The following is a 13,899-nucleotide window of genomic DNA, read 5'->3' as shown; positions in this document are numbered from 1 at the left end:
CTCTTTCACTTACAAAATTAATTTGGTGGGATATTAAATTTTTGGTTGAAATTTCTTTTCTTTAAGGGTGCTGAAAATAGGTCCCCAATCTCTTCTGGCTTGTATGGTTTTTGCTCAAAGGTGTTCTGCAAGATTGATGGGGTTCCCCTTGACAGTGACTTGATCCATCTCTCTAGCTGCCCCCCAAAAAAATCTTAAAATATTTATTTCTTTCATGTGGACTTTGGGGAATCTAATGAGTAGATGCCTTGGGGATTGTCATCTTTATAGCATCTCAAAGGGGTTCTCTGTAATTTAGGAATTTGCATATCAATCTCTCTAGCAAGTTTGAGGATATTTTCATGGACTATATCTGCAAATACGTTTTACAAGTTGTTTACTCTCTCTTTTTCTCTCTCAGGAATTCCAATGAATCATAGGCTTGGTTTCTTTACAGAAGGAAACCAAATTCCTAGAAGTTTTCTTCATTTTTATGTTTTTTTTTCTTTCTTTCTTTTTGTCTGATGGAGTGGATTATAAAAACTGGTTTTTAAGCTCTGAGATTCTTTTCTCTCTTTGGTATGTTCTGTTGCTAAAGGTCTGGATGTATTATCAAATCCATGTAGTATTTTTTTTAATTCCAGAAGTAGTGTTTTTTTAATGGCTATTATGTCTTTCAGCTTTTGGATCATTCTACTGGAATTATTGAATTCCTTAAATTGTGTTTCAGCACTTTCCTGAATCTCAATGAGCTTTCTTGCCATCCAGATTCCGAATTGCCTGTCTGTCATTTTAGTCATTCCAATGTGGTTAAGAACCATCGCTGGAGAGCTCAAATGCACCCATTTGAAGGTTAAGGTACATTCTTACTTTTTGAATTGCCAGATTTCTTGTTGATTCTTTTTCATCTTGAAGGAATGGTGTTCCTTTAACTGTGGTATAAGTTGAGTATGGTCAGTTGGTTTAATTTCTGGGATAAGACTCTGCACAATATTTTTATTTATAGCTAGATTCTTGCTCTCAGTTTCATATGCAATGTATACTGACAAACTATTTTTGAAGTCAGGCACAGTGGCTCAAGCCTGTAATTCCAGCACTTTGCCAGGCTAAGGTGGGAGGATCACTTGAGGCCAGAAGTTTGAGATCAGCCTGGGCAACATGGAAAACCCTGTCTTTACAGAAAATAACACATATTAGCCAAGTGTAGTGGTGTGTGCCTGTAGTCCCAGCTACTCAGAAGGCTGAGGTGGGAGAATGGCTTGAGCCTAGGAGCTTGAGGCTGCAGTGAGCTACGATTGCTTCTCTGCGCTCTAGCCTGGGTAACAGAGTGAGGTACAGTCTCAAATATATAGGCAGATGTTTTAAATTGAGCTGTGATCCAGTAAATGGTGCTTAAGAGTAATGGCTGGCAGATAAGCTGTTACTCGGGGACATAACTCTTTTGTTTTTCAGTGTGTTTACAACAGTGCTTGTGGCAGCGGGCAAGAGAGATGACCCCCTTAACAGGCCTGTGCCTGGGCCATAGGGGACACCCCCCCAATCTCCCGCTCTGGTCACTGGTGCCACACTTGCATTTCTTTTGTTAGGAAACTGTTCTGAGCCATGGAGCTCCCTTAGGCAGAGGCAGCAGCTGGCAGACAGGACACAGCCTTCCTGGACTGGGCCTATGAAATGAGGCATGTCTCATTCTGCACTGGCCCATGAACCCGTGCATCTCACCCCTCTCAGTGTTCTGAGATTCAGAATTCTTCCTCTGCTTGAGTGCTGGGCACCAATCTCAGCTCACACTCCCAAGCTATGCACTGCAGCCCTGGGGTTTTGGGACTAGCCTGTGTCTCCACTGTCTGGCCCCTCTGGTTCAGGCAGTAGCTACACTGGGGGATCTGAAGTGCTCCAAGGATACTGAGGAAGTACTCAGGTGGGGGTCCTTGAAAAAACCCTCAGGCTGAGCAGTGGAGGCTGTGCTGTGCACATATTCTTGCAGGTGTGGCCAGGCAGGAGTACTGGGAGGGACTGGCGGGCAGAAGGGCCTACAATACAGATGTGTCCCAGCTCACAGGAAAGTTGGCCCCGCTGTCTCTTCGCTCAGAAGTCAGGTGAGTTGAGAGCTACTTGGTGGAAGAAAGAGAGCCTTGGATGTTGGGCGCCTATGGCTGCGTTCTGCTGCAGCTACCCAACATGCAAAACCCCCTGGGTTCAAGGCTGGCTGTAGTTCTATTTCTGCCTACTCTCTGGGCAGATGCCCCTGCCTGTTCCAATGTCTCTGGGGGTCGTGGGTTCTCTTGTAGGTAGGATCCCAGATGTCAACAGTGAGAGTAGGCTGTCCCACTGCCACTTTACTCACCCCTTAGCTAGGAGCCACTCAGGGCTGGAAACTATCTCTGGTGTTCAACAACCCTGCACTGGGTTTCCAGCTTTCTCTCTCTTCAGCCTCAGTGTCTGTGTCACCTCTCTATTGACTTTCAGTGTTTTCTCTCAAAAGATATGCTCGAAGTATGTTAGTTTATTCAATATTTTGGGCTTCCTCAGTGGAAGTGGTGCTTCCTGAGTGTGTCTAGTTGGCCATCTTGTACCCTCTAATAAGTTTAATTTCTTATAATAGATTTGTGTATATTTTATGGTAGTAAATGATAAAATAGTGGAGTATCTAAACATACTTTATGCACTCATGATATACCTTTTTCTTAGGGTTTCCTTTACTTCTACACTATGCAATTCATCTATAAATTTTCTCAAATTTTCACAAATCTCCCCAAATTTTTTCAATATATTTATTGAAAAAAGTCTGTGCATAAGTGGACGAGCATAATTTAAACCTATTGTTCATGGGTCCACTGTATGTTTCAAAACCTGTTAAGAAGGTAGATGTCATTTTAATTGTTCTTACCATAATAAAAGAAAAATAATAAGAAATAAAAAAGCATATGCATACAGAAACACACACCACAGAAGTTTGTGGCACGATTAAATGGTGCCATTACTCTAATCTATAAGAAAACTCACTAATATAAGATAACATTGACTTGATAACAAACTACCTAGAAATAATTATTTTCAAGTATGCACAGATCTGGGTTTAAATTTGATTTATATGATCATACCATGTCATAATCAACAACTCAGACTTCAGGAAATGATTGGTTAAATCAGTGACTCCATCTACATGCAAAGTATTTATTCATCACCTGTGACAAATGTAATTTTGATGACTTTTTTTTCTGTTCTTTCACTGTTCTACACATAGTAACTAAGGGTCATAATCGCGCTAGATAGGACGTGAGAAAAAGTTTTTCTTGGCTCACTCACAGTCTTAAAAATTGAAAAATTCTACACAAAAATTTTGGTGTTTGGATTTTCTTGGAAACCAATCAGAAGTCCTTGCCAATGCAGGGCCTAAATTTGTGCATTAAAAGAATAGGCCAGAGCTGAGGAACACAAGTGCTTTTGGATGCATGGGGAGAGCAGTTCACAACCAAAAGAATTCTCCTATTCTAACCATCACACCCTAAATTCCTGTTCCTGGCACTCTTTACTCATTTATTTTTATGTCTTCAGCTCCTTTAGGCATTGGAGTTTGCCAAAGTATACTTTGTAAGTGAAGCTCATACTCATCACTGAATAAGAGAAGATATAATGATATCTGAACATTCAATGTTAGAAATTGTATGGTGATGAATTCTCAAATAATGTAATAATTTCTTATTTAGAGAGCTTATAAAATAATTAACCTAAGGACATTTACCACGTATTTCTGTACTCTTCGTGATAAAGCAGTGATGAAACTGGAGTTGAATGAGTAGAAATAATGTACATAATGTGTAGCTACTCTAAGGCATATGTCTAAAATTGAACATGTAAAACATTTTATCAAGTATTTTCTTTATAGTTTTAGATTAGCAAACACTTTCAAGTTTTTGGCTGTTGCTGGCCCACTGTGATGTCTATCCCATCTTGGAAATGAATCCTTTGATCTCTTTGGAATGATCTATTGAAGGCCTAATGAGGTGGAAAATCATATTTATTTATTCACAAACTTAACTAATTATTATTTGCTAAGAACATGCCATTCTGTCATGTGGTAAAGAGATGGCAAGTAAGCACACAAATATTAATAGCTCATTGTGAGAAGGGTTACAATAAAGGCATGCTCTTGGCTATTAATTTGAGACTAATGGAAAGTGGTGAAGTAAGGCTTCTCTAAGAGGATCCACATTTTGGAAGAGGCTTCAAGAACTATGCAAATGAAAAAGAGGGAAAAGTTTTACCAAGTGTAAATGCAGAGAAATGTGAGATTACAGGGCACAGTAACTCAGTCAATAATTGAATAAGGTATGGATATTCATCAAAAGGAGGAATATAGGGAATACAGTGGGGTTGGAGGTAAGGTGATGAGATCAGATTTTGACATATTGTGCTTTAGGTACTAATAAGATATCTAAGGAGGGAAAATGGATGAAGAAGCACTGGAAATATCAATTAACGCAAATGATAGAAATATACCCATTTACAAATCTATAGTAAAGTAGGTAGAAATTGATTGTGTTTCACTAATAACAGAAGCAGATTATACTGGATTTAGAAGTGGATGGGAGGTGAGAAGGTGAGATATCTTAGCTAATTTAGCTGATATTTTCCTAGGTGCTTGGTTCTAAAGAGGAATAAAAAAAGGATTCAGCTGGAAAGTTGTGTGGGGGTATAAAAAACTGTATCTACATATAAAGATGGGAAATACTTGGGTGTGTTTGCTGAATAAAAGAGAAGATGGAGATAAAGAAGCGGGAAGGGAGAATCTAAGCTCCAGCTAGATCTATCAACATTGGATACAGATGTATATATTTTCCACTGAGCTGCAAAAAAGAAAAAGAAGATAAAGATAGATATGGTGCAAGAATATTTTTAGGGAAAAGGGCCTGAAGTTGAGACAGTTTTTATAACATGGCATCTCTTTCATCTATGAGATAAGAAGGAAAGTATGCTCTGAGAATGAAGAAGAAAATCATAGATTTTATTTATGTGTCCTCTGCTTTATTCCTTTGTTCAACAAGTACTTACTGAACATTGCCATACGCCAAGCCCTCTGCTAGGACCAGGGAAAATGACCATAAAATACACAGTGAAGTCTCTCAAATGACTCCAGCCATAAATCAATGCAGCAGCCACAAGAAGACTTTAGCAAAGCAAACTTTAAGTTGTACACATCAACATCCAAGCCACCATCAACTGAAAAATAAAATTTACTTGACTGGACAGTCAGTTTGGGAGGGAGACATTTTACATTTGGTTATTTTGGACCAAGCTCATGAAAATAAATTTGTTTACATTCTCTCATTTTACACTTAGTTATAAAGATAGTATAAATAGGAGCTGGATTTTATATTTATTCTGATTAGTAATACATTTATTTCCTACTTGTAACTTTCTAATTATATTAAGCAAAGGACTATTGAAAGAGTGAATTCAGTTATTTGAAAAAATGTTTTTCGCATGTGTGCTTAGAAAGACGTTATCATGGTACCTTGTTCTGGTTGTACTTACTTAGATCTACATATCCAATATCCACGTACATTTTAGAAAACAGAGATCCCAGGGTAAAGCCAATGATTGGACCAATCATTGCTATTGCATTCAATATACCTGAAAATATTATAAAGCAATTTTACTAGATGCCAAGAATGCATGGTTCTTATTCACCATGTTTTTAAAAGAAATATGATACAATACATATACCCAAATATATGTTCTAATAGGTAAAATAATAAGTTTAGTAACTCTACTATTTCAAAAGTAGACAAAGGGAAAGTGATCATACAATTTAATATTTTGTGTACATTACCTAAATACAAAGAAGAATGTCCTTCTTTAGCGAAATCATCAATGTAAGAAAGCCCCAATGGTACTATGGGAGTCTCCCCTATTCCACGAAGCATATTACCCATGAACACATATATCCACATGTATGACCCAGATTCCTTTAAACAACCTATGTAGATAAGAGAGTGTTTCATTTTAAACATTAATTTTAGCATTTCTATTACAAATTTAACTACTTGTAAACTCTTAATTATTCTACTTATTTTTTTTTAATTTACAAGTACAAGTAATTTATATTCACTTTGCAAACTTTGACAATATGGTGTATTAGTCCATTCTTATGCTGCTAATAAATACATACCTGAGACTGGGTAATTTATAAAGGAAAAGGGTCTAATGGACTCATAGTTCCTCATGGCTGGGGGGCCTCACAATCATGGCGGAAGATGAAGGAAGAGCAAAGCCATGTCTTACATGGTGGCAGGCAAGAGAGCTTTTGCAGGGGAACTCTCATTTATAAAATCATCAGATCTTGTGAGACTTCTTCATTACCACGAGAACAGTATGGGGGAAACCGCCCCCAAAATTCAATTATCTCTACCTGGCCCCACTCTTGGCATGTGGAGATTATTACAATCAAGGTGATATTTGAGTGGGGACACAGTCAAGCCATATCATACAGAAAAGCACAAACAAGTAAAAATTATCTGTAATCACATTACACACAGAAGATCACCTCAAGCTTTTTTATATATCTTCTAGATTTGCACAAAACATATACATTATATTCATTATATCCATTATATATTTAAAAATCTAGTTCATATTGTTAAATGGTATACACAGTTAACACCATATTATAACAATTGTTCCATGTTGTTAAGATTTCTTTAATATCAAAACTTTAATGACTGGACAGTAATGTGCTGAATAAGTTTCCAAATGTGTTTATTCAGTATCTTATGTTTTAATTTCTTTTTTGTTGTTTTATTCTATTAGGTTTATCATGACTATAACTGTAAATAAGTCCTTTTGCAGTTTCCTGGTTATTTCCTTAAGATTAATCAATAATAGCAGAATTTCAGACTAAGTAGGTAAGTATATTTTTGTTCTTAACATATATTGATAATGAATCTCCAGAAAGATTTACAAACGTATACACTTCCAGCAATATATACAATGTGAAATCCTTTTTTGCCTCTACCTCGTCTCTATGTATTTTTAGTCTTTTTCTATTTAATAGGTTAAAAAAATCTTTAGCAGTACAATTTGCAATTATAATTTATAATTTGTGTTATAATAGGCAAAAAGTCTTTAAATGATATAATAGTTTGCCTTTTGCAATGAAAGCAAAGTTATATTATTTACATATTTATACCATTTCCTTCTGTTTTACTTTAATGCATATATTCTTTGTCAATTTCCTATTGAAAATATTCTCTTTTCTGATCTACTTCTAAATGCTTTTACATATAATACAGTCATCCCTTGGTATATTAAGGAATTTGTTACAGGGCTGCCTGTGTGTTCTCAAATTCATGCACACTTAAGTTCTGCAGTTGGCCCTGTTCAATCCAAATATAGAAAATGTCAGATATTCTTACCGGCAGGTTTATCATCCAGTTCAGATGGACAAAATTTGCATAGAAGTGAAAACGCGTAGTTTAAACCTGTGTTGTTAATGGGCGAACTGTGTATATTAACACTATAATTATGTCTGTAAGAGTCAAATGTTTTTCCTATTCATTCTTAATTAAATTTTGCTAATGAATATCACAACAATTTTTAGAGATGTAATTAAATGTATACATTTTAGAAGACTTTTTACTGTCAATATTAATTCTTACCTTTTCCCACTATCTCAGGTGATGCTCTATTGAGTGATAAAATTTGATTAATTAAACAAGTGGATAAGGTCGATGTTGAATTTTCTGATGAATTGATATTAGTTTCTTTAGAATACCTGTAACTGTAAGAACATCACTGAATTAAACATTTTGCTTATCTACTGAATATTTTCACTTTTCCTAGAAATACAGAGAAATATTCCCCTTTATTTGCACCATTATCTTCCCCAAATTACCAGAGTACTTTCTGTCAATTTCCCAGCATGTGTTTTAAGAGATGTGATGGGTAAAAGTGAAATGGAAGTGTCCAGCAAGAAAGATAATTCAATACACCCCAGGCTAAGTGGGTTATCACCTTGCTATTATCCTAGGAGTGGTTATATCTTGGTCAAGATATGAAATATCCTAGTTTCACCTTTTTAAAAAGTAATTATTAATTGTGTGTAACCATTCATCCTTTTGAATTATCTTCAAAGATGATCAGTCTGTCAGATTTTCTTTCATGGACACATATTCACACACACGCTCTAATGTATGACTCTTCAAAATGTAGTAAAAATAAAATCTAATCCATTTCAACTAGATGAGAGAAAACTTGATAGGAATAACAGAGATGTTAATATCCATAAATAATTAGGTACCACGTGAGCTCTAAAGGCAGCCTACTGTATTCCAGGCATTATGCTAAGCTTCAAAGAGCTAGAAATAAAACACACAGTTTTTGTACTTAGGGAATTTCACACTAGTATAAACATAGATGATAAAAGTTATAAGTTTAATATATAAGGTCCTGAGTTGTCACAAAGACAAAGGATATGATCAACTTTGCTTGGAGGTTGCGGGAATAGATCAGAGAAGACATCAACATGAGAATGACAGGTAAAACGAATCTGGAAGATGAATAGAAGGGTAGACAAAGAAACAAAGGTATTCAAGGCTGTAGAAATACCAGGTGCAAAAGTGTCACATATTATGGCATATTTAGAGCAATGCTGATCTAGATTGTGGTCCTTAATTTTAGGGTAGAATGGAAGATGAAGCTGTGATACTTGCCTTTAAGGTTTATTTTCCATACAACTCATGAAGAATCATAAATAAAGATTAAAAAGGAAATTAGAGGACTCTGACGGTATGGTGCCAAAAGCAGATGAAAAAAAATGGACATGATGAAGAAGACACAAAGATAGAAAATGAATCAAGAGAGTGCAGTATGATGAAAACAAGCTAGAGCAGTACCACTAAGAAGAAACTTCCTATAAGGGCCAAATATGGTGGGTGAATGGATTTAATATGGTGAGCAAATGATGTCATTGCTGGATTTGGCAATGAGTAAGTAATTGGTGTCTCTAACAGAAACTGCTCATTGTCTCCTAATATCCTCTCTTCTTTCCTTCCACAGTAATTATACTTGGGATTTTTAACCGGGAACTTGGTAACTTGGAATAATGTCTATTTTTTTCAGCATTTATATATCTATGTGTGAAATGTAACTAACATCTGGTAAATGTAAAGTCAGTAGAGATATTTTGCTTCTGAAAATGCTTCTTAAGCCTCAGCCTGTGTGGACTGTTTGTTGCTTCTTATTCTTTTCTTCTTCTATCTTGTTGCCTGGAAATACGTTGCCACAATTTGGATCATGAAGCCAAGACCATGCAAGGCATAGCACTATGATGGAAAGAGGTAGAATCATATCATCCTTGAACTGGCTACATTAACTGTAATGTGAAAAATAAGTTTCTCCCCCATGTGCCATTTTAACTTTTCTCTCAGGAGCATCTGACTGTAATTATAACTACACAGTGACCTTAGGAATAACAGCTTCAGTGAAATGATGGGAACAACTATACTTCAGTGGGTATAGGTGTAAGTGTTGAGGTCTTATAAAAAATAATCAAAATCTTATAGGCAAAGACGTACAGTATATACGTTATACTAAAAATTCATAAAAAGCCTATTTATTTCATTTGAAACTCTACAGTTTAGTCTTTTTGTTATTTCAAAGTATATGAAAGCTACGATAAATAAAATGATTATGTAGACAAATAGACACTATTTCATTTCTGTACACACTTAGTGGGTATCTTCTCAAAAGGTAACTGCCTATTTAAAGGGATAATAATAAAATTCTACTCCTAATTTACAAGGTACTGATAGTGGCACAGAGGTTTTTTTTTTTTTTAACACTTACTATCCCATGAAGAAATGTGGCAAAGCAGTCAAAACACCTCCAATTCCCATAATGAAACAACCGATTCCAATTAACTTTGGTCTATGTAGTTTGGATCCAAAGTAACTCACAAATACAATCACAAGCAAATTTCCTAGAAAGGGAACAAAATTATGTTGATACAGCTTAGTTCAATTTTGCGTCTAGAATTGAAAACCCCAGAATGGATGCAAATAGAGTCCAAGACATAGTGCCTTCCCTCAAAGACAATGTGATTTAATTGAGAAGGTGAATTCACCTACATTAGACCACTCATTGAAAAGTTGTTTTAAATACAAAAAAAAAGCACTTGAATTACTTGGCAATATTAGTGAAGTAAAATTTTATTGAAAAATTTGGAGTTGACTGGATTATACTGGAATGAAGAAAAATGGAGATGAATCTTCCTGATGAGGGTAAGGTGCTCCTTCATGCGTTTCTTTATTTATTCTTAATATTATTTAAATTTCTAACATGAACCTGACATGAAGCTCAGAGCCAGAAATAAGAAAGTTACTTGAAAAAGAATAAACCATGGCATCTGTCTTCAAGAAGTTTCATACTAACGATAAAAATAGATGGACAGAGGTGCTATTAAACCACAGAAAGGCGGAACTTAATTAAGAACTTCCAGAGGCCAGGCATGGTGGCTCACACCTGTAATCCCAGCACTTTAGGAGGCTGAGGTGGGTGGATCACGAGGTCAGGAAATCGAGACCATCTTGGCTAACACAGTGAAATCCCGTCTCTACTAAAAATACAAAAAATTAGCCGGGCATAGTGGCGGGTGCCTGTAGTCCCAGCTACTCGGGAGGATGAAGCAGGAGAAAGGCAGAGCTTGCAGTGAGGGGAGATCGCACCACTGCACTACAGCCTGGGCGACAGAGCGAGACTCCGTCTCAAAAAAAAAAAAAAAAAAAGTCATGACCACTTCTAATCCATCTGGAGCCTCAGGCATAACAATAAACAAATAGCAGTTAAGGATAACTGAGCACTTCTGAAAAAAAATAGCATAAAAATAATTTGGAATAAAAGCACCAAAATGAATGAGTAAATTTTTTTTTTACTTTATAAAAAATTTAGTACCTTTACGGGTACAAGGGCACATTGCATCCATGAAATCAGAACTGGCAGCCTAAAAATAATAAGGGAATAATAAAGTGCTGTTGTAAATATAAAATACAGATTAAATATACAAATTAGAACTTAATATGGTAAGATGGATGATGGCATCAAAGATTAATGAAACATAAAGAAAAACAATGGAAATTTAGAAGAAAAAAATTTAAAGAGAAAAATTCCCAGAAAATTTAATATTCATCTTATAAATTATCTAGAAAAAAATTACTAATAGGGAAAAACACAAATATGAACCAGAAAATGTTTTCCCTGAGCTGTTATTGGAGAAATCCAACATAAAATGAAGACAACAAAATATCTTCAGTATTTCAAAGGAAAGATTTTTGTGTGCTCAGTGAAACAATAGAGGTCTAACGTAGGTTGCTCTGAAAAGATTCCTTTCTCCTTAAGAATAACAGTCCTCTCCCAAAGTTTCTTCATCTTGAGAGAGGGGAGGTAAAGTATGACATGGCGTTAGTTTGCAAAAAATGAATTTGTGTAGAATCAGGGTTTCTGAACATCCTCACTATCAACATTTTCAGTTACATCATTCTTTGTGCATTATAGAATATTTAGCAGTACCCCTGACCTCTACCTTTAGATACCAGTAGCACTTCCATTGCCCCCAACCCCTGTGCAGTTATGACAACCACAAATGTTTTTAGTTATTGCCAAATTGCCTGTGAGAGATAAATTTACCCCAGTTGATAACCAGTGGTGTAAAGCATATATATTTTTTAACTTTGCAAGTTTGGTTATTAAAATAGAAAATAAATGTTACCAATTTCAAAGCTTCCGTCAATAAAACCAACAAGAGAAGAGGATATCTCAAATCTCCGTTCTATATGAATGATGGAACTTTTCATAATAATTGCACCTAGTGTCTTAGCAATAAAGCTGAGTGACAGAGCTGCCAAGAACATCTAAGAAAAATCAGAAGGAAAGGGGGAAAATGGTTAATCGAAGGACTATATAATGTCAATAGGCACATGGAATTATAATAGCTTTCTTCTTTACTTAAAAACATTATTTGTATCTTAAAAACCATACTTAGTTTTCCCTTTTACCAGGTACTACTACTCAGCCATTTAAATGTTATTATCACTACACTGATAAAGCATCATTTCTAATTTGGTTATAATATCAAAATATTAGAGCACTACAGTTAAGGTTGTTATTTTTAAATTAATCTCATTAACTGATTTATAGAAAGCTACATCATGTTCTCAGATGGCCATGATGGTGAGCTATTCTTTATTTCCATATGAATAGCATTGGCTAACTGGGAGGGGAGTGGCAGTACATTCTCAAAGGCAGCATTTCCAGGAAGCCAGCTGAAAAACAGAACTTTGCAGAGGCAAAGAAAAATTCTATGACCAACACAAGTGACTGACATCCAGTGTAAGATGCAGTGGTTATAGATGTTTTATTTGTCAATTTCATGTTAATAAAATGTATCGATTAATCATTTCTATTACAGCTCACATTTATATCCATAAACAAATTTCTTTGGGCTCTCTACTATTAATATTTACCCTGTTATGTATTACATCTTTATATCCCCTACCTCAAATTTATATGTTGAAACTCTAATTTCCAGTGTGTTGATGTTTGGTGATAGGGTCTTTTTGAGGAAATTAGGTCATGAGAATGGAGCCCTCTTGATAAGATCAGTGCCCTTATAAGACAAGAAATTAGGGATTCCCTCTATTTCTCTCTTTCTCTCTCTCTCTCCCCTACCCCCAAGTGATGACACAATGAGGATATGGCCTTCTGGAAACCAGGAATAGGGCCCTTATCAGAACTCAATTATGCCAGAACCCTGATATCAGAATTCTCAGCCTCCGGAAATGTGAGAGACAAATATTTGTTGTTTAAGTCACCAAGTCTATTCTATTCTGTCAGCCTGAACTGACTAAACGACCTCTTCTAATTACCTCCTATATTTCCCAGTGGTTTCCACCACCATGCCTAGCTTCAATTATTGCAAGAGCCTCCTGAGCCATGTTTCTACTTCTGTGCACATCTGCCTAACAGTCTCTTCTCAACAAAGTAGCTAAAGAAGTCCTTTACAAATCAGAAATAGATCATGCTGCCCCTCTGTTTTCCTATGTAACTTATAGTCATATCAAGTTTTTCCAATAACCTATGAGACCATAAACAACCTATCCTCTTTTTTACACCCACCTCCCCACAAATATTCCTCTTTATCTTTCTAATCTTATACTTTGTTACTCTTGTCCTTGGTCATTCCTCTCCAGCTACATTAGACCTTGTTGCTGTATATTGAGCATTCCAGATTCATTATATTGCTCCAGGCTTTTTGTTCTTGCTTTTCACTTGACATGAAAGGCTCTTCCCCATAGTCGTATTTCTATCATTCATTCCTTCACACCCTTAAGAGTTTTGCTCAGTGGAACTTTCACAGTGAGGTTTTCCTTGATCAATCTCTTTAAAATTGCACCCCTTTCTGCTCACAATACATTTATTCCTTTATGAGTTTATTTTATATTGCCACAGCAGAATATTAGCCCCATCAAGTCATAGGTTTTTGTCTGTTTTGTTCATTGCTCCGTCCCCAGTGATTAGGACAGTGTCTGTCACAAAGATGCTTAAGAAATAATGAGTGAACATTTATATAACCAAAACCTACTCTGTGTCTGGCCCTAGGCCATGTTTGGGGGACAGAGATAAAAGGCCCAACAAAACTCTTTGATAGCCGACAAAATGTGGGTGTGTTCCTTTCTGCATAAGAAACTATCAAATGATATATGCTATCAATGAAGATAAAAGGAATTCAAAAGATTTATTAAATGATACAACTTATAGAGATAACTAAAAGTTTTAAAATAAAATGTAAAAAGTTATCTAAGAAACAGCATAAAATGTAGAAGAGTATCAAAACTAGTTGTATTAAGTTGATGATGGGAATAATAA

The 13,899-nt window shown here is 35.7% G+C and overlaps 1 protein-coding gene across 1 annotated transcript in view, besides 1 other annotated feature; it reads right to left on the bottom strand.

Moving 5' to 3' along the window:
- The window catches only part of SLCO1B1 (solute carrier organic anion transporter family member 1B1), a 108,603-nt gene that overhangs the window by 55,262 nt on the left and 39,442 nt on the right, over positions 1 to 13,899 (bottom strand). Inside the window, exons 3-7 of the mRNA NM_006446.5 lie at positions 11,744 to 11,885; positions 9,826 to 9,958; positions 7,638 to 7,759; positions 5,813 to 5,959; positions 5,515 to 5,613 (exon numbers count right to left, since the gene is read on the bottom strand). Of these exons, the coding sequence (NP_006437.3) occupies positions 5,515 to 5,613; positions 5,813 to 5,959; positions 7,638 to 7,759; positions 9,826 to 9,958; positions 11,744 to 11,885 (643 nt within the window). The remainder of the gene's footprint in view (positions 1 to 5,514; positions 5,614 to 5,812; positions 5,960 to 7,637; positions 7,760 to 9,825; positions 9,959 to 11,743; positions 11,886 to 13,899) is intronic.
- Positions 1,937 to 2,438: an enhancer, noted in NCBI's record as "H3K27ac hESC enhancer chr12:21335031-21335532 (GRCh37/hg19 assembly coordinates)". NCBI's record gives its function as "activates a minimal SCP1, AML or CMV promoter by ChIP-STARR-seq in primed H9 embryonic stem cells {active_cell/tissue: H9 hESC(primed)}" and the evidence as "EXISTENCE:reporter gene assay evidence [ECO:0000049][PMID:30033119]".

Source organism: Homo sapiens, chromosome 12, assembly GCF_000001405.40.
Source record: "Homo sapiens chromosome 12, GRCh38.p14 Primary Assembly".
Classification (NCBI taxonomy): domain Eukaryota; kingdom Metazoa; phylum Chordata; class Mammalia; order Primates; family Hominidae; genus Homo; species Homo sapiens.
Note: the sequence above shows the minus strand (reverse complement) of the source record. Positions and strands in the feature narration are given on the sequence as shown.